A 26,510-nucleotide genomic window follows, 5' to 3' on the forward strand; every position below is an offset into this window, starting at 1 on the left:
ACTTCAAGAAATGCTTAAGAACATTTACAAATAACTAAAATCTAAACTTTCTTTCTCACCTTTTGATTAATGACGACAAATCCTTTATTTGACTGAGCACAGACTTTGTCCTTCAGGTCTATTATTTTTTGTACTCTATCTTCAATAAATTTTCTTTCAGCTTTTACCAATTTCTCTTTCTCTTCTGCAGTCTTATAAAAGAAACCAGAGTTCACCTCTCTAAAAGATTAATAAAAACCAGCTAGTAAAGGCAGGAGGAAAAAGGAAAAAAGATAGAAGTAGTCTACACCAAACATCTGGAAGGAAAAAGAGATTTTAAAACACCTTTAGAAAAAAAAATTCAAAAGTTATAAAGAGAAAGTAACACGCACGTTTTTTCATATTCCAGTGAAACGTTGCAAATAAGGATAAATGCATCTTCTACTCGCTTCTTCATATCTGGATGACGGGCACCATGATCCAAAACTAATCCTTGGATCAACCTATTAAAAATATTAATGTTTCTTACTTTGAATATATACTCTAAAATTTGGTATAAAATTATCATTGTACTATTAAAGTTACATCAATACTTCCAGGACACACATTGTTTCCTTGTACCAATTTTAACAGTTTTTGGTGTTTTTGTTTTTTGTTTTCAGAGATGGGGGTCTTGCTATGATGTCCAGGCTGGCCACGAACTCCTGGGCTCAAGCAATCCTCCTGCCTCAGCCTCCCAAGTAGCTGGGACTAAAGGAGTGCACCACCTCACCCACCTCCTTGCATTGACTTTAAACCTAACATATAATTAGTAAAATTAGGAAAGAGAATCTACTTTAACACAGTGTGACTATGAAGTCACAATAAAAAGTCAAGCCAGAATTATTTTCTAAGTTATGTGATTCAAAAATATGACACAGCTTATCAAGTAATGAAAGGTACGTATACAATGAGTTTCTTAGGAACATTTATTCAAAATGATTATATGGAACAACTAAAAATTGTTAACCTAAATGTCCAACAATAGGGTATTATTCAGCAAATAATGACCCAACTATTTGATGGTTATAAAAAGTATGTAATAACATGGAAAAATATTTATAGGGCTAGCTGATAAGCATAGAATGACAAATTGCATATGAAGCATGCCTATAACTGTTCTTTTTAACAACAGACAAGGAAGGGGAACATCACACACCGGGGCCTGTTGTGGGGTGGGGGAAGCGGGGAGGGATAGCATTAGGAGATATACCTAATGTTAAATGATGAGTTAATGGGTGCAGCACACCAACATGGCACAAGTATACATATGTAACAAACCTGCACGTTGTGCACATGTACTCTAAAACTTAAAGTATAATAAAAAATATAAATAAATAAATAAATTTAAAAAAAAAAACAACTTGGCATTAAAAAGAAAAAAAATGGGAGGGACCTAAGAGTAGGGGTTATGCCTGGGTAGTAGGAATATAGATGATTTGGAAAGGAGGTGTTTCTTCCTGTTTTCCAAATAATCTTTCAAGAGTCAATATTTTTATAACTTTATAAAATTCATTTACAAAACATTCAGGGGATGGAATTTCTACTTATGAATCCTTTATAACTAATTTTTGTTATATATTTTTAAACTATTTTAGTTCAACATAATTATAAGGAAGTTTTCAAAATTTTACTTTAACTAGATTACTCCACCTCTTAACAGAATGTAAACATATCTAGAAACAATAACACTATGTTCAACATTCCTCACTCTTCAAGCCTCCTTCACTTTCCTCCCTCCCTACTGTCAGCAAATGACATTGTTTCTTTGAGAAAATAGAAACATTGTCCCATTACTACCTCTACCAATCCACTTGCACTTGACCCTGAACCTCCTACTACTATGAATGAGCTGTCCATGTTCCTCTCTATGGGTAGCCTCTCTACTTGTGTACTGGATTCCATTTCCCTCTCTGTTCTTGCACTGTCCCCTAGTCCCCTATATCAATTCTCACCTAAAGAACCATCCTTACCAGCATACAAACTTGCAGTAACAATTCCTATCATTAATACAAAAAATCCTTCTCCCTCAGCCCCATTCCCATATTCCCTTCTAGCTACTGCCCCATTTCTCTGTTCTCCTTCATAACTACACTTCTCTCAGTTACCATTCTCTCTTGAGCCACCTTCAATCTGACTTTTATTTCCACCTCTTTATTCAATCAGCTCTCATTAAAGCCACTAAAAAAGTAAATGTTTTCCAGCCAGGCGCGGCGGCTCACGCCTGTAATCCCAGCACTTTGGGAGGCCGAGGCAGGCGGATCATGAGGTCAGGAGATCGAGACCATCCTGGCTAACACGGTGAAACCCCATCTCTACTAAAAATACAAAAAATTAGTCGGGCCTGGTGGCAGGCACCTGTAGTCCCAGCTACTTGGGAGGCTGAGGCAGGAGAATGGCGTAAGCCCAGAAGGCAGAGCTTGCAGTGAGCCGCGATCGCGCCACTGGACTCCAGCCTGGGCGACAGAGCGAGACTCCGTCTCAAAAAAGAAAAAAAAAGTAAATGTTTTCCAAATATAACAATCAACTCTCAGTTCACGGCAATGTACTCAAACTTTCAGCAGCATATGACACAGCTGATTATTGTCTCCTTGAAAGACTTTCTTCCTTTGGCTTCTGGGACACCACTCTCCCTTGGCTTTAATGCCTCCTTGACTGCCCCCTTCTCACTCCCTTTTGCTGAATCCACCTCATCTTTTCAAACTCTAAACATCCAAGTTCCTAGGGATCATGCTTTAAACTTCCTTTACTATATTCACTTCCCAGATGGTCTCATTAACTCATGGCTTTAAGTCATTTATACACTAATGATTCTCAAATACATACTTCTAGTGCAGACCTCTATTCTGAATTCGAGACACATCTCTCCAAATTCCTAATCAACATCTCCATATGGATGCCTAATAGGCATCTCAAACATAACATTCCCAAACTGAACTCTTGATTTATCTCCCCAAATCTGCTCCTCCTAGTCTTCTCCATCTCAAGAAACAGCACCTCCACTTTTCCTGCTGATCATGAAAAAGCCCAAGAGATATCTCTGACCGCTCTATTTCTGTCATGTCCTATGTTGAACCCTCAACAAATCCTATTGCCCTTTCCTTCTAAGTACATCCTAATCCAAACCATTTTCATTTCTCACTTGTAGTATACCAACATTCCTAACTGGTCTCTGGTTTCTGCCTTTGGCCCTCTTTTATCTCCCAATCAGCCGTTTTGTGTGTATTCCCCACACAAAAACCACAGATAACCTTCTGAAGTATAAATCAAGAACTTGTTATCCTCAGCAATAGTAGGCTAACTGAGATCAGTCCTACTATCAAAAACAACTAAACATGCTGGCTTAAAAGCAAAAAAACCTTAGCAACATTGAAGAGCTATAAGATAGTATATAATCACAAGGCCAAAACTGAAATAAAACAGAAACTCCAACAGGTAAGTAGAGAACTGCAGGATCAGTAGGTTCTTTTATCTTAAAGTCATTTGACAATCCAGGCAAATCTGAACTTCGGTTTCAATGTCTTCACAATGAGAAGAAAACAGAATGAAAAGCACAGAGCTCATCCAAGGTGGAGTGTTTACAGGAGACCCTCTTCACATTAAGTTGGAACCACAAAGGGCTACATACTCAGGATTATCCAGAAGGAAGAGCTAGAAATAATCAGCCCTCACATGGACTTACAATCGGAATTCATATCAAATGGATATTCCCAAAAACCTAAGCTGTGAATTTAATTTAAATTAGTCCCTAGGGAGGCAACAAATGCAAATCCTCTCTGCAGAAAGGCAGCTTCATTCTAGGTCTCAAATTATTTCTACCAATACGTTTTTCAAGCACAATGAATGGCACATATGAACACAAAGCATGATGAGTGAGAACCAGTAAAATATAATAAACACCAGAAAGGGACAAGTCAAAACTTTAGATATTATAATTATCAAACATGAACATATTAAACATATGTTTAAAGAAAGAAAAAAGGGCAAGTTTGGAAAGATTTGCAAGGAATAGAACACCATAAAAGGTAACGTGGCAGATTTAAGAAAGAACCAAATAGAACTTCTATAAATAGTAAATAAGGATATCCACACATATACACACAGATATAAAAAATTCAAGAAAACAACAGACATAAATCCATATGTCTAATAAAAGAATATTACAATGTTTATAGCAGCACTATTAATAATGGGCAAAAAATGCAAACTACCTAAATGCCAATGAACAGCAGAATGAATAAACTGTGGTATATTAACACAAGAAAATACTAAATAGCAAAGAGAATGACCAATCTACTAATCACACAAAAATACAAATGAGTCTCACAAACAATGCTAAATGAAAAAGGTCAGAAACAAAGAGTACCTACCTTATGATTCCTTATACAAGTACAAAACATATAACAATCTATGCCGCAGAAATTCAGACTACTCTAGAAGAAATATGGCTGAAAGGAAGCAAAAGAGGGGCTTTTAAGGTACTAGTAGTTCTGTTTCTTGTGAGAGTGCTGATTACACAGATACATTTGGAAAATTAATCAAGTCATATTGCTATGATAGTTGCATTTTTCAGTGTGTGTTACACTTCATTAGAAAGTTTATTTTTAAATCAAGGGACTGGTTTTAAAGTAGAGTAGACATTGTTTAAGAGAAAATTAGCAAACAACAAAATATATCACTAGAAATTATCCAGAATGCAACACGAAAGACAGCAAGACAAAAAGTACATAAAAAACTAAATTAAGAACATCAAGCATACATTTAACTGGAGAAGGAGAAGAAGGGATGAACAAAAGAAATGTTTAAACAGATAATGGATGGAAATTTTCCAGAATCAGATAAACGATAGCACTCAAAAAGCCAGAAAATGCCAACCAGAATAAACAAAAAGAAATCCATACCTAGCTACATCATAGTAAAAGTATACAACACCAAAGACAAAGAGAAATATCTTAACATCACCTAGGTAAATAAAGGACTCATGGCTATAAAGGACTCATGGCTAATTTCTGTACAGCAATAATGAAAGCTAGAAAGCAACAGAACAATATCTTCAATCAGCTGAAAGAAACTAACTGCCAACCTAGTAAACACACAATGAAAGTATCAAAGAATAAAGATAAAGGCATTTTCAGGCAAAGAAAAACTGAAAGTATGCCTCCAACAAACTATCACTAAGGAAAATCTACAGGATGAACTTTAGGCAGAAGAAAAGGAATCCCAAATGGAAGGCTGAGATGCAAAAAGCTACACAGATGGCTGGGCGCGGTGGCTCACACCTGTAATCCCAGCACTTTGGGAGGCCAAGGTAGGTGGATTGCTTGATGTCAGGAGTTCAAAACCAGCCTGGCCAACATGGTGAAACCACGTCTCTACTAAAATACAAAAAATTAGATGGGTGTGGTGGTGCACGCCTGTAGTCCCAGCTACTCGGAAGGCTGAGGGAATCACTTGAACCTGGCAAGCGGAAGTTGCAGTGAGCCGAGATCAAGCCACTGCACTCCAGCCTGGTGACAGAGTGACACTCCGTCTCAAAAAAAAAAAAAAAAGAAAAAGAAGTAAGGCTAAGTAGAAAGTATAAAACAAGATGGCAAACTTTTTAATTTGCTTTTTTTATTGTAATAGCTTTTTGGGGAACAGGTGGTGTTTGGTTACATGACTAAGTTCTTTAGTGGTGATTTCTTAGATTTCGGTGCACCCATCACCCAAGCAGTGTACACTCTACCCAATGTGTAGTCTTTTATCCCTCATCCTTCTCCCACCCTTCCCCCCGGGGTCCCCAAAGTCCACTGTTAAGATGTTAAATTTTAAATCAAATATATCCATAACTGTATTAAATATAAAGGATTAAATGCTCCTGTTAATAAAGAGTATCAGATTTAATATTTTAATCTACCTATATGACACAAAAAATCATGTAAAGAGAGAAAGACTGAAAGTAAAAACATACACAAAGATATGACAGGCAAATACTAATTAAAAGAAAACTGGGCCGGGCACAGTGGCTCATGCCTGTAATCCCAGCACTTTGGGAGGCCGAGGAGGGTGGATCACTTGAGGTCAGGAGTTTGAGACCAGCCTGACCAACATGGTGAAACTCCATCTCTACTAAAAATACAAAATTAGCTGAATGTTTTGGCACATGCCCGCAATACCAGCTACTTGGGAGGCTAAGGCAGGGGAATCACTTGAACCCAGGAGGCAGAGATTGCAGTGAGCCAAGATCACGCCATTGCACTCCAGCCTGGGTAACAAGAGTGAAACTCCATCTAAAAAAAAAAAAAAAAACAAAACAAAACTGGATGGACCTGGCATGGTGGCTCATTCTGTTCTGTAATCACAGCACTTTGGGAGGCCAAGCAGGTGGATCCCTCCAGCTCAGGAATTTGAGACCAGCCTGGGCAACATGGCAAAACCCTGTCTTGACAAAAAAAATATAAAAATTAGCCAGACATGGTGGCGCATATCTGTAGTCCCAGCTACTCAAGAGGCTAAGGTGGGAGGATCACTTGAGCCCAGGTGGTCAAGGCTGCAGTGAGCTGTAATTGTGCCACTGCCCTCTAGCCTGGGTGACAGAGCAAGACCCTGTCTCAGAAAAAAAAGAAAGGAACGGAAAGGAAGGGAAGGGGGAGGGGAGGGGAGGGGAGGGGAGGGAAAAGAAAAGAGAAAAGAAAAGAAAAGGAGAAAAGCATAGAAAAGAAAAGGAGAAAATCATAGAAAAGAAAAGAAAAGGCCGAGCACGGTGGCTCATGCCTACAATCCCAGCACTTTGGGAGGCAGAGGTGGGCGGATCGCCTGAGGTCGGGAGTTCAAGACCAGCCGGACCAACATGGAGAAACCCCATCTCTACTAAAAAAAAAATACAAAATTAGCTGGGCACGATGGCGCATGCCTATAATCCCAGCTACTAGGGAGGCCGAGGCAGAAGAATTGCTTGAACCTGGGAGGCAGAGGTTGCGGTGAGTCGAGATCACACCATTGCACTACAGCCTAGGCAACAAGAGAGAAACACCATCTCAAAAAAAAAAAAAGAAAGGAAAGGAAAGGGAGGGAGGGAAGAAGGAAGGAGGGAGGGAGGGAGGGAAAGGAAGGAAGGAAGGCAGGAAGGAAGGAAGCTAGCTAGCTGGTACAACAGCTTTTAACATGTAAAGATTTTTTAAATATAATTATCAATATCAGATAAATTATACTTTTAAAGACATTACTAGAAAAAAGTCACTTCATATCAGTACAAAAGTTCAATGCACCAGAAAATATGTAACAGTTTAAAAACTATGCATCTAAAAAGATTGTCTCAAGATATATAAAGCAAAACTCTCAAAACTAAAGTAAAATATAAACAGGTACAAAATAATATTGAAAGATATTTATACATTTCACTCAGTAATTGACAGAATAAGCAGTCAAAACATCAATAAGGATATAGAAGTTCTGAACAACAGGATTAACAGGATACCTTGATCTTAATGGACATGTATATAAAATTGTACCTACCAACTGCAGCATACATTCTTTTCAAGTACATGAAACATTAACATAACAAAAGCTGACTATACACTGAGCCATAAAGCAAGTGTCAACAAATTTCAAAGGAGCAAAAATCTCATAGAGCATATTCTCTGACCACAATGTAATTAAGCTAGGTATCAGTAATAAGATAACTAAAATTTCCCCATGTTAAGAAACACACTTCTAGTTGAAATTAGAAAATATTTTAAACTGAATAAAAATCATAAGATTACATATCAAAACTTGAAGGATGCAGCTGAATAGTACTTTGAGAAAAATTTAAGGTCTTAAGTACTGTATTCAAAAGCAGGAGACTGAAAATTAATAACCTAAGTAGCTATCACAATAAAACAGAAGCAGCAAAAAAGTCCCCACAAAATTCCAAAAAAGTAAATTAAATAATAAAGAGAAAGACACTGTGAAATGAAAACAAACCTCTGGGAAAAAATTATCACAACAAGGAAAGAAAGGCATAAATAACACCAGAAATAAATGGTGATACCACTACAGATCCTGCAAACAGGATCCTTATAAAAATTTTATGCCAGTAAGGATATTTATGAACACTTTATACCAAAAATTTCAGAGTTAAACAAAATGGACAAATTTCTAAGAAAACATTACTTACCAAAATGATTCAAAAAATAAGTAGAAAACCTAATTAGTCCTATAGCCATTAAGAAAATTGCATGAGTGGGGCCGGGCGTGGTGGCTCACGCCTTTAATCCCAGCACTTTGGAAGGCCGAGGCGGGTGGATCACAAGGTGAGGAGTTCGAGACCAGCCTGGCCAACATGGTGAAACCCCGTCTCTACTAAAATACAAAAAATTAGGCAGGCGTGGTGCCACACACCTGTAGTCCCAGCTACTCAGAAGGCTGAGGCAGGGGAATCACTTGAACCCAGTAGGCGGAGGTTGCAGTGAGCCAAGATCACGCCATTGCACTCCAGCCTGGGGGACAGAGTGAGACTCCATCTCAAAAAAAAAAAAAAGAAGAAGAAGAAGAAGAAAATTGCATGAGTAATCAAAAATCTTCCCACAAAAACTCTTCAAGACAAATAATCAGACTTTTCCAAAATAATTATCAAGGTGAAAAACAATGAGAGGAAGAAAGAACCTACAAATTAACAAATTAACAGAGACTAAAAGAGATATCACCTAAGTGCACTATACAGACTGTGCGTAGATCTTAATCCAAACAAAACTGAAAAAAATCTGAGACAACTGTTAGACAAATTAGACTATAAACTGGAAATGTGATAGTATTAATGAGTTATTCATTTTTAAGGTGTTATAATGTTTTGTGGATATATTAGGTAAAAGCAGGGGGTTTATGTTTTATGGATTATATGATATTTACAGGTGGTATATGATGTCTGGATTTGCTTCAAAATAATCCTAGGTGGGAGGGGGAAAGAGGGAAGGGTATGCTTCATATGTTAGAAATTGATAAAGATAGCTAACAGTTATGTGGAAATTCCCTATTCTGTTCTCTCTATATATGTTCACAGTTTTCTATAATACAAAGTTTTAAAAGAGTAAATCCAAAATCAACATGGTACTCCATAATCTGGTCCCTTTTGCCTCACCTCCTCTCCCTGTGCTCCAGGCACACTGTAACAACCTAGTCACACTTCTGCCTCAGGACCCTTTCAGAGGTCATTCCTTCTGCTTAGAACCCTCTTATTCCAGATGTGCACATGGCTAGCTCCCTTGTTTCTTCAGAGACCTCTTAGCTCTCCAGGTTCTTATCAGAGTAGTCTTCCCTGTCCACTATAAAATCACACACATGATTTTTTTTCTATTTCAATTAGAAACATAAACTTCTTGGGGAAAGAAATTCTGTTCTGTTTACTCTCATTCCCATTACCTAGAGCAGTGACTTAATATATGGTGAATGAATATATTTATGTTGAATAAAAGTAAGTAATGAATTTAATAAAAGAATATCTTTAAAAAATTCTAGAACCCATATGTTGTCAAAGCTTATGTAATTTACTTTGTATCTGTTCCTAATTTATGCTTCATCTCCATTATTTCTACCATGAAGAGATCAATAGGGTAACCTGGTCTTCTAACAGCCAAAACAGAATCCACCACAACCTGAAAGAGAAATGAATGAGAACAGTTAAGTTATTTGGACTACTAAAATAAACCAAGGGCCCAAACAATCTATCACCAGACTAAGGAGATAAAAGCCTTCAGGATTCAAAACCTAGGGCAAGACCAATATGTGCCACTTTACTATGGATGCTAACAATAGCCAATGCCAACAGACACTTTAGAGTCTAAAGAAACTTCAGAGATCATTAGGTCCAAACCTTTTATTTTACAGATAAGGCAACTGAGATAAGACCTTAAGAAGTCACAGTTTTTAAATAAGATCTAACAGCTAGTAACAGGGCCGGGACTAGAATTCAGGGCTCCCTAACTGCCCAGCGACTACTCTTTCTATCATACCAAGACTATCCAAACTTTTCCACCAAAGGACACCTTAATGGAAAAGAAGGAAAGGTAATCTAAGGTAATAGCTCCAATTTGCTGGCTGTAATAACAGGAAACGTTAAAGTCTCATGTTTTATCGTGAAAAGTTTCCATGTCATCCCATAATATGTTTATCTCAATGTAAAAATAATGTTTTCCCCCAAAATTGTAAAGTAAAATTGACACTCCAGAAAGCTACGTCTCATTTATTCTGTCACATATGACCAGGGATATACAATTTAAGAAGCATAGCACAACACGTCTTATTGCTTAGCTCAGAAAATGATATAAAAATAATAAATAACTGCAGAAATTAAGGGCTAAGTTATAACTACCCTAAAATATACATAAAGCAGAAAAAACTGTATCTTAGAAAACTTTGCCTGAGGTGACATAATATTTTATTTTAGAGGCAAATAAGAAATAGGACAAAGGCCATTGGATAGTGAGAATATCACTGTTTCTGTAACTCTAAAACAGAATGGGTGCCCTAGCAGCATGAAGATTTGGGGCCATTCAAGTACTCTAACAGCAGAAAACACAGCAGAGCCTTTCTTCTGACTCTGCTCATCAAGAAATTGTCTGATCTTAATCTGATTTCCCAAGTTGTTTTTTTTTAACGGTAAGGAGAATCGATCAGAAACAACTCAAGTATTCCAGTACATTTGGCATTTGTAGTTCTCAAAGTAAATTATTAAGGTAGTATTCTGCTTTGTATGTCAATGTCTTGTGAATTTGTTTCCTAAGAATTTATCATTCTTCCTGGTAAACAAATATATTCAAGTTTCAGAAATTACAAAGCTGAAAAACAATAATGATATCAAATCATTGCCACCTGATAAAAGCCTTCCCAAAATATCCAGCCAATCTTGTCTTTATATAAAATATATATATATATATATATATATTTTTTTGAGACAAAGTTTCACTCTGTCACCCAGGCTAGAGTGCAATGGCATGATGTCAGCTCACTGCAACCTCCCCCTCCCTCCCAGAGTGATTCTCCTGCCTTAGCCTCCCAAGTAGCTGGGATTACAGGTGCCTGCTAACATGCCCAGCTAATTTTTGTATTTTGAGTACAGACAGGATTTCACCATGTTGGCCAGGCTGGTCTCAAACTCCTGACCTCAGGTCGTCTCCCCACCTCGGCCTCCTAAAGTGCTGGGATTACAAGCATGAGCCACCATGCCCAGCCTATATAACATATATTCTACCTTTAGAAATAAACAAAACACTGGCCAGATGTGGTGACTTCATGCCTGTAATCCCAGCACTTTGGAAGCCCGAGGTGGGTGTATCATTTGAGGTCAGGAGTTCAAGACAAGCTTTGGTAACATAGTGAGACCCCATCTCTACTAAAAATACAGAAATTAGCCAGGCGTGGTGGCACGCGCCTGTAATCCCAGCTACTCGGGAGGCTGATGTAGGAGAATCGTTTGAACCTGGGAGACGGGGGTTGCAGTGAGCTGAGATCATGACACTGCACTCCAGCCTGAGTGACAGAGTAAGACTCTGTCTCAAATAAATTAATAAAAGAAATAAACTAAACAAACATACATTTCCAATATGTGAATATTAATATATTAATATATCATATCACATTTCATTATATTGGTAACCTTATCTACAAGGTACACTGCTAAAACAACTATCTTGTGTGTCACCTCACATAATAAAATATGGACTGCTAGATTTAAAAAGACCAGTATACTATTCAAGAGCTTCCACAGGAGATGATCTGCAGGCAGCCAAACCTCTCCCACCTTTCAAGTCACGTTTAAAAAAAGGCCTAGTATGATACTTCTGAAAATTACAAATACTGTTCTGACCAGTCAAATCTAATCTACAGTTAGGCCTATACAATAATTGTCTGTCTTCCATATTTTATGCCCAAAAAACCACATGAAATACTTGATTATCTTACAGAAAAAGAAAAATATCACCATGCATTAGGCTATATTTGTTCTGAATGCAAAAGTTTAATAACATACCTCTGTTAAGACATCAGCCAGTTCAGCATGAACTTTAGTTTGTAATGATGTTCTAGCTACATCTAAGAGGATTTTTCTTTTCATCTCCTTTGTCACTTTAACTTCCTCCAAAACTTCAAGTGCTTTTATCTTTGCAGCTTCAAATCCTTCAGCTATTATTCTAGGGTGCAGGCCCTGTTACATCAACATAAAATTATAAATTATAAAATAAGTCACCCAATGTAAAAGTAACCAACCTGTCTGATTATTATGTTCAAAAAAAGTTACTCACATTAATGCCATGAAATATAAGTGTACATAATTTATAAAAGTCATTTTAGTGCTTCATACTTGAAATAATCTCAACCTTAACAGTAAGGCTTCAAGTCTAGTATTAAAAATTACAGAAGTCCTTTTTATTTCCAAAAATTATGACTACATTGTTGTTATGTGGTGCCCTTCTGAATGGGCACACATAAAAAGATTCCTTTCAATGCAGAGGAAAAGAACCACCACTGAATTGGGGAAAAGTGGCAGATAGAACACTGTGGTGTCTACCACTTCACCAAGTGATCAAAGTTAACATCACAATAATGAGACAGACAGGCATCACATGCCTGCTGACATGATGCATTCAGTAGAACACAACAGTTCTATGGTATTTTGGCCAACAATCTGTAACCTAAGTTTAATTGAGGAAATAGGCAAATCCACACTGAGGGACTTTCTACAAAATAAATGGCTTAAAAGTAGCAATATCATGAAGCATAAAAGGCAGCTCAGGAACTAGTCTAGCTTAAAGGATACTAAAGGAACACGACAACTGAGTGCAATGCATGAACTTAGATCTTTTTTTTCTATAAAGAGCACTATTAATATAAGTGGTGAAGTTTGAATAGAATGCAGATTAGATAACAGTAATGTATCAATGTGTTAATGTTATTATTAATTTCCTGGTTTTTATAACTATACTGCAATTATATAATTCCCTGGTTTTAAGAAATATACACTGAAATATTTAGATCATGTCTGCAACATACAGTTTAGAAAAGAATAAGTACACTGATACTAAGGAAGAGAACAGGGCAAGCAGGCAATGAGAGAAATGAAAATGCTTGAAGAATCTGGGTAAAAAGTATACAGGAATTCTTTGTAGTATGTTTGCAACTTTTCTATAGGTCTAAAATTATGAAAAAATATTTTAATAGTATTTTTTGTTCCATAAAATAATACACAAACTTTGTGAAAGCTAGCACTTGGTCTAATTCATTCCCTTACTACTTTTCTTTACATCAATCCTTAATAATCTTTAAAAGTTGACATTGAGTATTTGTGCTGGACATGACTAAGAGTTTTACACAAGTTATTTAATTCTCTAGCCACATCATGAAGTGGGTATTATTATTATTATTTTTCCTATTTCACAGATGAGAAGACCGAGGCTTAAAGGGATAATGTAATTTGCCTTAGATCACCAAGATAATAAGAAGTGAAACCAGGTTGTTTAAACCCATGAGACCTGACTTTAGAGCCTATGTTATTAACCATTTTCAAAAATGTCTTCAAGCTAGGACCCCACAATCTCTCATCCAGACTATCATGAAAACCTCTGGTCTAGACTCCCTTAAAACCATCCCCCAAATACTTAAAATGCCAACCTGACCATATCAGTCATTAGTATGTTTCTATGTTTGGTCTGTAATACCACTGGATGAAATCTAAGCTTCTTGGTTAGCATACTACATGCCCTCTGATCTGGCTCCCACTTCCCTCTCCAGCCTCTTCTCCACTACTGTTCACATCACCTGAAATTCCAGCAACACCAAAATGCTTGTAGCTTCATACAACACCATGTTGCTTGTCTTCTCTGTGACTTTGCTTATGTTGTTCCTTCTGCCTGGAAAGCCATTCTCCTCACCCCTTGCTCTTTTGTCTGGTTCACTCCTCCTCATCCTGAAGATTTAGGCCAGGCCTTACTTCCTCCAGAGAGTTCTTCCTGACTACTTCAGGCTAGTTTAGGACGTCCCTCCAGCCTCAGTGATTCCATCATATACTGTGCCCGGCTCTATCACTGCACCACCACAGAGTTTCATAATGTCTGTTAGCATCTCACCCTTGCCAAACTCCTTTCTTCCTAACCCAACCCTAATTCAGTTTGGGTTTCCCTCTCCCACTTGTGCTTTGGAGAAAGCTGATCTTATCCCCAGCTCAAGGAGTGGATCCTGATTAGTCTAAGTCAATTCCCATAAAAACTGTTACTGGCTTGGGATGGACATAATACTAAAGTTGGCCCAATCATACTAAAGAAAAGCCTCCTGAATGGCTTTATCTTGCCCTCTGCCTAATTTCCTCTGACAGTCTTTCTTCGCTCTCCTCTGTCCTCTCTCTCCTCTCTCCTCTCTTCTCTCTCTCTCTTTCTTTTAGAGACTGGGTCTCACTCTGTCACCCAGGCTGGAGTACACTGGTGCAATCATGGCTTACTGCGGCCTCCACCTCCTGGGTTCAGGCAATCCTCCTGCCTCAGCCTCCCAAGTAGCCAGGACCACATGCAGCATGCCACCAAGCCTAATTTTTTTTTATTATTTCTAAAGACAGGGTCTCACTATGTTGCCCAGGCTGGTCTCAAATTCCTGGGCTCAAGTGATCCTCCTGCCTCAGCCTCCCAAAGTGCTGGGATTACAAGCATGAGCCACTGTGCCCAGCCAGTCTTACTTTCTTTTTCTTTCCTTTTTCTTTCCATTTTTTTTTTTTTTTTTTGAGATGGAGTTTCACTCTTGTTGCCCAGGCTAGAGTATGATGGCACAATCTTGGCTCACTGCAATCTCCACCTCCTGGGTTCAAGCAATTCTCCTGCCTCAGCCTCCTGAGTAGCTGGGATCACAGGCGTGCACCAACACGCCTGGCTAATTTTGTATTTTTAGCAGAGACAGGGTTTCTCCACGTTGGTCAGGCTGGTCTCGAACTCCCGACCTCAGGTGATCCACCTGCCTCGGCCTCCCAAAGTGCTGGGATTACAGGTGTGAGCCACCGCACCTGGCCTCTTACTTTCAAGATGGAAATACTCTTAGGATGAAACAGCACTGTGAGTGGAAGAGGTAAGAGACAAAGAACCTGTGTACTTGATGACTGAATTTTGTTATCACACAACCTGACAGTCTCCCTTATCTCTCAATTTTCTATTATGGGAGATAATCATTTCCTTATTGTTCAAGTGAGTTTTAGTCAAGTTGTTTACAGCCAAAAGCATCCTAAGTTGCAAGTACTGAATTAATAGAAAATTCCCAATACTAAACGAAACACAGAGAATCATTTTGACTAGGTTACTCTTTGCTGAAATGGTCCCTGAAAGAGAGAAAACATTCAGATATGGAGAAAAGAGATACTTAATTAGAGAAAGGTAAAAATGTACATGATGTTTTCAGAGGCCAGTGAACGGAGGAGTCTGGCTGAAGTAGATGATTTATAAAGAAAATGAAACTAGAAAGGAAGGTAAATTCACAATAAGTAAAACCTTCAATAATTTTTCTCCAGTGGTTTTATAAAGGTGCATAATTTGGTTTCAACTTTATCTATGGTGTTTTCTTTCTTAATTACCCATGGATACATGGGTAATTTTTTACTTTTTTAGGTCCGTTAAATATTTCATTTTTAAAAGAGGTATATAATTCCAACGAAAGGCATTATTTTGGCCAACAAAGTTCATTATTATTTCCATTTATAATTGTCCAAGAATATCTTAATTAAAATTAACTGTCTAGACCAGGCACGGTGGCTCATGCCTGTAATCCCAGCACTCTGGGAGGCCCAGGCAGGTGGATCACCTGAGGTCAGGAGCTCAAGACCAGGCTGGCCATGATGGTGAAACCCTGTCTCTAAAAAAAATACAAACATTAGCCAGGCATGATGGCGCATGCCTGTAATCCCAGCTACTCGGGAAGCTGAAGCAGGAGAATTGATTGAACCTGGGAGGCGGAGGTTGCAGTGAGCCAAGATTCTGCCACTGCACTCCAGCCTGGGCGACACAGTGAGACTCCATCTCAAAATTAATTAATTAATTAATTAAAACAAAATTAACTGTCTAAAACTCAACCATTTTACTAGTTAAAAAAATAATTTGCCATTCAAAATAACATATAAACTGTGAAATTCTAATACCTCAGAAATGTACAGGTCAGCTTGTTTTAATAACTCTCCAATAATTAGAACATTTGAAGTAGTACCATCTCCTGTGACGTCATCCTGAGCTGTTGCTACTTTTGCTATCAAGGAAGCTGTTGGATGTTGAATTTGCTGGAAAAAGCAAGCAACAGATTTAAAAAGACAGGATGAGATAAGGAAGTAGGTCACCAAAAGCAAGATAACCTAGGGGTCAGTAGCAAAATTAAAAAATGAAATAAGCTTCATTCTACAAGTTTACAAGTTTTGTATTATCAATACCTAAATGTCAAGTCCAAAATTTTAAAAGTGACAGGTAATGAGGCCTGAACATTTCATAAAAGTCTTTGCTTCAGAATGCAATGACATTTCTAAAATAAGATTAAATCATTCAATCTCAAAATGAATACATGTATTAAACTTGCAAAGGATATTTTTATTTTTCCATAATTACAAAGAACATAAGGCAGTGCCCTTAAAAGATATTATTGATTTATAAGTATGCCTAAGTATACAAAGTATGTATAAGTATACAAAGACTTGGAAACAGCCAAAAAAAAAAACTTTTTTTTTTTTTTTTTTTGAGACAGGGTTTCACTCTGCCACTCAGGCTGGAGTGCAATGGCACAATCTCATTCACTGCAGCCTTGGCCTCCTGGGCTCAAGTGATCCTCTCACCTCAGCCTCCAGAGTAGCTGGGACTATAGGCGTATGTCACCACACTGAGCAAAATTTTTTTTTTTTTTTTTTTTTGTAGAGACGGTTTTCACCATGTTGCCCAGCCTGGTCTTGAACTCCTGGGCTCAAGCAATTTGGCCACCTCAGCCTCCCAAAGTGTTGGGATTACAGGAGTGAGCTACCACACCCGGCCAAAAAAATTTTTTTATTGAGGTCTAATTCAACAGTCTTCAGCATATCTCAAGACTGCAGTATTTAGCTCACAGCCTTGGCTTAAAGATACACAAGTTCTACTATGCTTCTAATTAAGGCTTATTAAGGTTTATTAAAGTCAGCAGCATCAGCTCACCATCTCATCGAGCAGCACATTGCCATCTTTGGTGAGTTTGATGTCACCTGCACCAGAAACAAGCCTGTTCAGAGAAGAATGATATTAACTTCATGTGGTAGGAAGACATTCCCAGTGCTTGCCACTCCATTATCCTTAATAGAGGGAACTGGGCTCGGAAAACTTCCACTGTACCATGGGAATATGCCATGGTAATTACCACCATTTGCAGCTCACAGAATCATTTCTCCCCAGATGGACAGATTATGGAGATTTCATTCCAAATGGACTATTTACAGGTTTAAAGATAAAAGCACTTGATGAGTTACGAACTGTGGTTTGGTCAAAGAATACTTGGAAGTCTACAAAGCACAAATTCGCAAATTTCCTGCAGGTTTTAATTTTGGTGAATGTTTTCATTCATTCAGTCACTCAACTTAGTTTCCCTCATCCCTGCATTTATTAGATCACCAAGTTCTATCAATTCTACTACCTAAATATCTCTTGAATCTGCCACCTTCTCTCCATCTCCACTGTTATCATCTCTACTTTGGATGGCATCCGGATATCTCCAAACTTAAATATACCCTCCACACATTTTTCTTTCTAAAAGGCAACGTGATTCAGTCAGTTCCCTGATCAAAAGTCCTCCAATGATTTTTATGTTTTCCATCATTTTCAAGTTAAAATCCAAACACAGCAATGACATACTTGACCTTTCCCAATATCTTCCCTGCCTCATCTACTTTTCCACAAGCAAATCTTCTGGTTCCCTTAATATACCATGTTTTGTTTCGTTTCTGTTGGATTTGCACCATTGGTCTTTCTTATTCCTGAAATTACTTTGCCCAGGCCTTTACTCCCTCTTCCAACTAGTGAAGTCTTATTCTTCTTTCAAGACTGATCAAACATGTTACTTAAGATGCTTTTCCTTCTGCCATCAGTCCCTTTCTTCAGCATAATTATATGCATCTATATATAATTAGCACATCCTACTCTACCACATCCGTCTCTACCACATCTCCTTAAGAACAGAAACCGTTATCTTGATCATTTCTGTGTCCCAACAACTGGTACCTAAGTGACTTATTTTACCATTAATATTATTTTGTTCATTACTATGAGGATGTGTCTCTCCTCTTATACCCTTTTGCCCTCACTGGTCTCTTTTCCTCACTCTTGTCTATAGAAAAGGGTGCTTAATATATACTGAAAAGATGAATAGATCTGAACAACCATAGACACGGGGTATTCAAGTAGAACTTGGATTTGACCCCATGCCTTCCTGGCTCCAAAGCCTGTGTCCTCTCCACTACAATACATTGCCATACAAAAAACAAAACTACTTGTTGAATTTATGGACCAAGGGTATACAGTCTTAAGGAGCAGAGGAGTTAAATGCTTTGTTTCCAATGAGACACTAAATTAACTGACTTTCTAACTGCATATGAACCTTGACGACAAGTCGGGGGTCGGGGAAGCGCCACAGCTTCACTCCCGGGGCCCTCTACTAGGGGAGGCTTTTCTCCTCCACCTGCACCAGGCGAGAAATACCCCCAGAGCAGGGATGAGAATGAGGGAAATCAAGCTCGCAAGAACATCCACAGCGCTACGCGGACGCCTGCCTCAGAGGGCGACAGGACACCAACGGGCCCCTAGCCGCGTAATGGCCGCTCCAACCGCTGTCTCACATTTTCATGGTGCCTTTAGGACCCAAGTTGGTCCGCAGCACATCCTGCAGCCCTCGGGCGGCGCATATATTGACAGCCAAAGCTGCCCGGGCCCGCGCCACCTCAGCCTTGGAGTTGACGGCCTTTATCGCAGCCATAGCCTAACCGTTCAGAGGGAGAAAAAAAAAAAGCCTTAGTCGCGATTCTGAGCAAAAACGGCAATGCGACGCCACGCTCTCTTGAGCCTCGGCCAATCATCGCCCTTACAGGAAGTGACGTTATCATGCCTCGCCCGACGGAAACCAGAATCGTTTTGGGTCTGGTCGCCAAGATGGCGTCCTCCGCCTCCGCCCGGACTCCGGCAGGGAAGCGAGTGATAAATCAGGAAGAATTGCGGCGGTTAATGAAGGAGAAGCAGCGTCTGAGCACCAGTCGGAAACGGATAGAATCTCCATTCGCGAAGTACAACCGTTTGGGGCAGCTGAGTTGTGCCCTGTGTAACACTCCGGTTAAGAGCGAGCTCCTGTGGCAGACTCACGTCCTGGGAAAGCAGCACCGAGAGAAAGTGGCCGAGCTGAAAGGCGCGAAGGAAGCCAGCCAGGGTTCGTCCGCCAGTTCAGCGCCTCATTCCGTCAAGAGGAAAGCGCCGGACGCAGACGACCAAGATGTCAAGAGAGCGAAGGCCACCTTGGTGCCTCAGGTACAGCCCTCCACATCTGCGTGGACCACCAACTTTGACAAAATAGGAAAGGAGTTCATTAGAGCGACTCCCAGTAAGCCTTCAGGACTCAGTTTACTCCCCGATTATGAAGATGAGGAGGAGGAGGAAGAGGAGGAGGAAGGAGATGGAGAAAGAAAAAGGGGGGACGCCAGCAAGCCGCTCTCCGACGCACAGGGCAAGGAGCACTCAGTTTCCTCTTCACGGGAGGTAACAAGTAGTGTGCTGCCAAACGATTTCTTTAGTACTAATCCTCCCAAGGCCCCCATAATTCCTCATTCAGGGTCAATTGAGAAAGCAGAAATACATGAAAAAGTGGTGGAAAGGAGAGAAAACACCGCGGAAGCGTTACCGGAAGGTTTTTTTGACGACCCTGAGGTAGATGCAAGAGTACGAAAGGTTGATGCTCCAAAAGATCAGATGGACAAAGAGTGGGACGAATTCCAAAAAGCCATGAGGCAGGTCAACACTATTTCCGAAGCCATAGTTGCCGAAGAGGATGAGGAGGGACGGTTGGACCGCCAGATTGGGGAGATCGATGAGCAGATAGAGTGTTACCGACGGGTGGAAAAGCTACGGAATCGCCAGGATGAAATAAAAAATAAACTTAAAGAAATCCTGACCATAAAAGAACTGCAGAAAAAGGAAGAAGAGAATGCTGACAGCGATGATGAGGGGGAACTACAGGATTTGTTGTCTCAGGATTGGAGGGTGAAAGGGGCATTGTTATAGGGTTTTAAAGACCCAAGGTTTCTAACAGCCTCTGCTGTTGTATAAAAAGTGCTGTCTCTCAGTAGTATAGCGGTTACTTCATGCCTCAAGATTTGGGTACCTGGATTGCTAAACTGGATTGTTGAGATAAAATGAGCCAGTGAGCTACAGCACTTTGGAAAATTTGTGTAACATGTTTTTGAGGTAAAGTTGTTTTTGAAATTTCTGAAGTGTTATATACCAAAATGCCAACATTTCCACGACAGACTTAACTGTATAATTTCGTTGTAAAATCTGTAAGTTGTAAATATTGTACATAGTTAAATCTGTATTCTGTTTTGAATTTTTTTAATTAATAGAAAGACCAACCGGCAAACTTTCAGATGAATGCTTACTGTGGTATTTGGAATGTATGTATCTTCTGAACCCTACATCAAGTTGAAAAGGTTTGTTTTCTTGTTTCTTTGGTTTTTGTATGGTTTTTTAGAACACTTCATAAACACATAAGTCATTGTAGGTTAATCAGTTCTCTTAGTGTGCTTTATTTTAAAAACATAAGAAAACTATATGCCAAACATGACCAAACCAATGATGGTCAGATGTGGTTGCACATGAGAGTCACCTATGAAGCATTAAAATAATTAAAGTGTCTGAGGCCTTCCCCTTCAATAAATCTGGGATTGGGCCCAGGCAACTGTGTTTTTTAAGCACCCAGGTTATTCTAATATATGCCAGGGTTAGAGAGTAACTGCCCTAAATCCAGAACCCATTTATGTTTTTCAGGTTTTTTCTTTTTCTTTAAATAACACATTCCATAAATTTGCTGTTTCTTGAATGAAGGAAAAAATATTATCTTTTATTTATTTCATCCAGCCTTAAATTTTGTTATTTGGTGGTAAATTAGGGTTCCTTGTTTGCAGGTCCTATCTATTGTAGAAAGAATATTTAAGTTGTCTTTCCAGCAGTAACAATTGGCTCTTGCTGGTCATTGATAGTTTAAATCACTCCTTCCTTTAGAGATTGAGGTACTCAAATAGGAAAAGGGAATTAGCAGTGTTCTGGAGTTGAAATGCATACAGCATATTCAAATAAAAGTGAGCAATAATAATAATAGCTAAGACCTATATATTTCTTAGTATGGGCCAGGCATGGTTCTAAGTGCTTTACATATATTAACTCAATCTAGTTTCCCTAAAGTCTTTTTTTATGGAGAGGAGTACCAAGAGACAAGGTTTGAAAAGCCTTGAATGCTAAGTGAAAATTTTTGATGAAGTTCATATGAAAATGGAGGTTTTGAGCAAAGAATTACATCTGCAAAGAAGTATCATGGGACATTATTAACAGTATATAGAATGGAATGAACACGGAGGGTAGAAGGAAGCTAGGAGCTATTTGAAAACTATATTTTCAAAAGCAAGGTGACAAGACTGATTAGCTGAGGATTGGGAGAAAAGGAATAGAAGTGAAAGCATGTCATAGGAATAGCTAAATTCTTTTGTTGTTTGTTTTTTTTGTTTGTTTGTTTTGAGACGGAGTCTCGGTCTGTCGCCCAGTCTGGAGTGCAGTGGCGGAAACTCGGCTCACTGCAAGCTCCACCTCCCAGGTTCACGCCGTTCTCCTGCTTCAGCCTCGCGAGTAGCCGGGACTACAGGCACCCGCCACCACGCCAAGCTAATTTTTTGTATTTTTTAGTAGAGACGGGGTTTCACCGTGTTAGCCAGGATGGTCTCAATCTCCCGACCTCGTGATCTGCCCACCTCGGCCTCCCAAAGTGCTGGGATTACAGGCGTGAGCCACCACGCCCGGCCAGAATAGCTAAATTTTAGTGACTAGAAGTGGAAGAAGAAAAACAGGAGGGATAAGTATGGGATTCAAGATTTTGTTTGTATTTAGTGTCACTGCCTAAAAGGAGTTATCTAACACTTACTGAACAGTTGCTGTGTACCACAAATTATTATTAATAATTGTCCTGCTGCCTTTGGCAGTCTTCCTCCTTGAGCTGCTAGCTGATCAGTGATAGCAGCTTCTATTTGATGAGACACGGCTTGCTTGCCTCAAATGTGTGAACCCAGTGTTACTCAGAATTTTCCCTTCATTCATCACTATTACTCTAGCAAGAAAGTACAAATATGGGTTTGAATGGTGGGCCCAGTACTGCCTTGGCCAACAATCTAGTGGAGTACTGTCCACTAAAGATAAAATGCGACTGGGTGTGGTGGCTCATGCCTGTAATCCTAGCACTTTGGGAATCCGAGGCAGGTGGATCACTTGAGCTCAGAAGTTCAAGACCAGCCTGGGCAACATGGCAAAACCCCATCTCTACAAAAAATATAAACAAATAATCCAGGTGTGGCATTCACCTGTAGTCCCAGCTGCTTGGGATGCTGAGGTGGGAGGATCACCTGTGCCAGGGAAGGTGGCGGTTGCAGTGAGCTGTGATTGTGCCACTGCACTCCCTCATGGGTGACAGTGTGACCCTGTCTCAAAAAGTAAAAAAATAAAATATAATGCAAGCCATAGATAAATTTTACATTTTCTAGTAGCCAAAGTAAAAAGAAGTGAAAGTAGTTTTAATGTGTTTTATTTCATCTATGTCCAGAATATTAATGTTCCAATATGTAATATTTAAAGATTGATTATTTTTACTACATTTTTGAAATCTAGGTGTATCTAACAGCACATCTCAGTTTAGACTGGCCACACTTCAAGTACTCGATAGCCATATGTGACTAGTGGCTACTATAAAGAACAGCGTAGATCTAAAGAGTAAGGTATCCAGGTGAAAAGATAAACATGCTCAGGAGGTAGTGAGCATCCAATTTAACTAGAGCAGAGGGTTCAGTCCTGGCAACAGTGGGAATTATGATTGAAAAGGTAGATTAGGAACATGTGGAGGAGCTTGAATGCCAAGCTCTAAGGAATTTGAACTTTCTAAGTTAACAATTTATCCTTGTAAATTGAGTCCTTAATTGTAACACAGTCAAAGAAGTGCTTAAGAAGTGCCAGGTGTGTGTTACTACTCACGTGAACCCCCGTTGGGCTTTTAGGACGGCCAAAAAGCCCTCAAAATCTGATTCTCAATGCTCTGTATTCCGGAGCAGTAGAAATGGGGCCCTGACCATAATCAGTGCTCAAATGAATCCTTGTTGAATTTGAGGTCAGCGTAAGCAGCTATAGTAGCTAGTGCATCTTTCCTGATCCACTTATACATTGGAAAGCTCCATTATTATACTTTCTCTGAGCTAAGTCAAATAGGTTTCGGCATTTGACTGAATACCATCATTGTTCCTAAATTGTAAGAATTGGTCCCAAGGACTCCCTCCAGTCACTTCTCTTTTTAGAATGCCCCCTAATTCAGCCGTCATCACAATATAGAAGTGTAAAGGCTATAAAGGTATCCTCTCACCCAACTTCACTTATCGATTTAAATCAATACCCCTAACTTGAAAGAAGAAAAAAAAATGCTGATCCAACTAGCCTTCAAATATATATGTGTCCAGTGCCTTACAATTTTCATTTATTGATGGAAGTAATGACTGCTTTTTACACACCAGGGGACAAAATAGGCTATGAAATTAAAATTGCAGGAGAAAATGTAATTTAGGCCTAAGATCTTTAATAGTAACAATCACTAGATTAGTGTGTAGTAATGCAAAGAACCATGGAACAGAAGACTTGCATTCAAGTTTCCACTCTACTTTTTAATGGTTAATGAGCTTGGCCAAGTCACGTCTCTGAGCCTCAGTTTGCTCCACTATAAAATGAAGATATGTAATTCCTCACAGGGGTATGGTGAGAGTCCAGCAAGACATGGACTCATTCTGATGAACACAGAATGGAAGGTCTTAATGGAAATAGTGTATTTCCTGTCAAGCACCAATTGGCTAGCTGTTTGGCTAGATGTTGTGCCGGGGGTTTGAGTAAGTATTCATAGGAATGATGACTAGATAGATAACCTTAGACTGCTTTTTCAAACTAATAGTCTATTAGCCTGCATAATACCAGGAGTATAGAAGATTTAAATTTGAACAAGGGCCGGGCTGGGTGGCTCACGCCTATAATCCCAGCACTTTGGGAGACCGAGGCAGGCGGATCACCTGAGGTCAGGAGTTTGAGACCAGCCTGGCCAACATATAGTGAAACCCCATCTCTACTAAAAATAAGTAAATAAATGAATACAAAAATTAGGTGGGCATGGCAGTGCACGCCTGTAGTCCCAGCTACTTGGGAAGCTGAGGTGGGAGAATCGCTTGAACCCAGGAGTCAGAGGTTGCAGTGAGCTGAGATCGCACCAGTGTACCCCAGCCTGGGCGACAAAGCAAGACTCTGTCTCTCAAAAGAAAAAACAAAGTTTGAACAGGGAAAAAAAAATCTCAGAACTCCTCGCATTCAATTTTATATCTACATTTCCTTCCTCAGTGATCTGATCCCTTCCTATGGGTTTTAATATCACCTATGTAGTGAAGATTCCCAATTTATACCTCCAACCTTGGCCTTCCACCTAAGCTTCTGGCTTGGCTCAGTACCTACCTAACATTCCACTTCAAGGTTTAATAGGTGTCCAAAATATAATAACTCTCAAACAGAGCTTTGATTTTCTTCTCAAACCTGTTCTCAGGTTTACTGAGAACTTGTCTCAGTAAACTTTACTGAGTAAATTTTACTGAGACTTGTCTCAGTAAATGGCACCACTAGCCACCCAGACGCTCAAGACAAACCCTGGGGGCCATCATTCATTCTCTTTCCTTTCCCTCAAATCTAATGCACTAGTTAAGTCCTGTCCATTCCACCTCTAAAATATGCCTAAAATCTGTCCACTTCTTTCTCCACTGGCCCTAGCCACCAACATCTCATTCATTGTTGCCTGTCCCCCTACCCTCATCACAATCTATTCTGACAGAGTAGTCAGAATGATCTTAAAATTTTAGATCAAGTCACTCTATCATTTAAAACCATTCATTATATGCTTCCATCACACTGGGGGGCGGGGTGGTAGGCAAGAAATCCAAGCCCTTATTAAGCCCACATGGTACTCAGGGATTGCTAATTCAAATGTCTACTACTTACAAACTGATGACAGTAAGCTCCATTAAAGTGGCGTGGAAGGGGACAGGAGAGCATAACTGCTCTATGTTGAAAGCAATTGTTATTCAGGAATAATGGCCTGGCATAGTGACATGGCCAATTTGTTTTTTGTGGGTTTTTTTTTTTGACGGAGTCTCGTTCTGTTGTGCAGTGGCACAATCTCGGCTCACTGCAACCTCCGCCTCCCGGGTTCACGCCATTCTGCCTCAGCCTCCTGAGTAGCTGGGACTACAGGCGCCTGCCACCACGCCTGGCTAATTTTTTTGTATTTTTAGTAGAGACAGGGTTTCACCATGTTAACCAGGATGGTCTCATCTCCTGACCTTGTGATCCACTTGCCTCGGACTCCCTAAGTGCTGGGATTACAGGCGTGAGCCACCACACCCGGCCCAAATTTTTTTTTTAACTTAAGAGAAATTGCAAGTCAGGATTGTTTTTTAGTGAAATATCAAAAACACTGTGGGCTGAGTGTGATCTGTGGGCCCCCACCTTGTGACATACCTCTCTGACTTCATCTACTACACATTTCCCCTTAATTCTCTATGTCCCAGTTCACTGGCTAGCTTTCTAGCCATCAGATGTGACATCTCAGGGCTTGTGCACTTGTGGTTTTCTCTGCTTGGAATGTGACTTCAGATAGCATGGCAGTCTTCTCAGTCATTCAGTTCTCAGCTCTAAAGTCCCTTTCTCAGATGGCATAAACAGCCACCCGTCACTCACAATACTTTATGAATTCACTAAACTTATCACTATCTTAAGTTAGCTTGTTTATTTGTATCTAAGTTAACATCTCTCCCCAATAGAATGTAAACTCCATGAGAGCAGGGATTTTGTCTGTCTTAGTTGCAACCTAAAATAATGTCAGACACATAATAGAGCTCGGTAAAGACCTGTTGAATGAATACCACCCACATAGCTGGAAGTTGCTTGGGAAAGTGGCAGAAAGATCAAGCTGACTACAGAAATCAGAACCAGCATAAAAGCCAGTTAGCAGCTTGAACAGAGGGCTGAGGTACTTTTTTCCAACTATGTGTCTTCCTTACTTCTCTGGCACATGAAGCCTTTACCTATTCTGAGCACACAACAGGGCAAGGAGGTATACACAACAGCCTCTAGGGTGCAATGGGCCACCTTCACAGTTAGCTGACAAGAATTCCTCATGGCACCAAATAGGCAAAGAGGGAC

General features: G+C 39.6%; 2 protein-coding genes across 4 annotated transcripts in view, besides 6 other annotated features; one reads left to right on the plus strand and one right to left on the minus strand.

The window, feature by feature from the left end:
- The window catches only part of CCT6B (chaperonin containing TCP1 subunit 6B), a 33,600-nt gene extending 14,564 nt beyond the window's left edge, over window positions 1-19,036 (minus strand). The window contains exons 1-7 of one of the 3 annotated variants that reach the window (NM_006584.4): window positions 18,833-19,036; window positions 17,163-17,226; window positions 16,136-16,270; window positions 12,002-12,175; window positions 9,526-9,629; window positions 372-482; window positions 60-219 (exon numbers count right to left, since the gene is read on the minus strand). In NM_006584.4, coding sequence (NP_006575.2) covers window positions 60-219; window positions 372-482; window positions 9,526-9,629; window positions 12,002-12,175; window positions 16,136-16,270; window positions 17,163-17,226; window positions 18,833-18,969 — 885 coding nt within the window. In that variant the 5' untranslated portion in view covers window positions 18,970-19,036. The remainder of the gene's footprint in view (window positions 1-59; window positions 220-371; window positions 483-9,525; window positions 9,630-12,001; window positions 12,176-16,135; window positions 16,271-17,162; window positions 17,227-18,832) is intronic. The other 2 variants (NM_001193530.2, NM_001193529.3) reach the window with 2 other exon arrangements.
- Window positions 18,566-18,860: a silencer, noted in NCBI's record as "tiled region #18; HepG2 Repressive non-DNase unmatched - State 1:Tss, and K562 Repressive non-DNase unmatched - State 1:Tss". NCBI's record gives its function as "represses a minimal TATA promoter and a strong SV40 promoter by Sharpr-MPRA in HepG2 and K562 cells {active_cell/tissue: HepG2 | K562}" and the evidence as "EXISTENCE:reporter gene assay evidence [ECO:0000049][PMID:27701403]".
- Window positions 18,566-18,949: a biological region, named in NCBI's record as "Sharpr-MPRA regulatory region 18".
- Window positions 18,580-18,629: an enhancer, noted in NCBI's record as "active region_12047". NCBI's record gives its function as "activates an Ori minimal core promoter by ATAC-STARR-seq in GM12878 lymphoblastoid cells {active_cell/tissue: GM12878}" and the evidence as "EXISTENCE:reporter gene assay evidence [ECO:0000049][PMID:35858748]".
- Window positions 18,730-18,949: an enhancer, noted in NCBI's record as "active region_12048". NCBI's record gives its function as "activates an Ori minimal core promoter by ATAC-STARR-seq in GM12878 lymphoblastoid cells {active_cell/tissue: GM12878}" and the evidence as "EXISTENCE:reporter gene assay evidence [ECO:0000049][PMID:35858748]".
- Window positions 19,000-19,079: an enhancer, noted in NCBI's record as "active region_12049". NCBI's record gives its function as "activates an Ori minimal core promoter by ATAC-STARR-seq in GM12878 lymphoblastoid cells {active_cell/tissue: GM12878}" and the evidence as "EXISTENCE:reporter gene assay evidence [ECO:0000049][PMID:35858748]".
- ZNF830 (zinc finger protein 830) lies at window positions 19,116-21,353 on the plus strand. The gene has a single exon (NM_052857.4). It carries the CDS (start codon window positions 19,143-19,145, stop codon window positions 20,259-20,261), a length of 1,119 nt encoding a protein of 372 aa, NP_443089.3. The 5' UTR covers window positions 19,116-19,142; the 3' UTR covers window positions 20,262-21,353.
- Window positions 19,160-19,409: an enhancer, noted in NCBI's record as "active region_12050". NCBI's record gives its function as "activates an Ori minimal core promoter by ATAC-STARR-seq in GM12878 lymphoblastoid cells {active_cell/tissue: GM12878}" and the evidence as "EXISTENCE:reporter gene assay evidence [ECO:0000049][PMID:35858748]".
- Window positions 21,354-26,510: the final 5,157 nt, after the last annotated feature.

Source organism: Homo sapiens, chromosome 17 (assembly GCF_000001405.40).
Source record: "Homo sapiens chromosome 17, GRCh38.p14 Primary Assembly".
Lineage (NCBI taxonomy): Eukaryota > Metazoa > Chordata > Mammalia > Primates > Hominidae > Homo > Homo sapiens.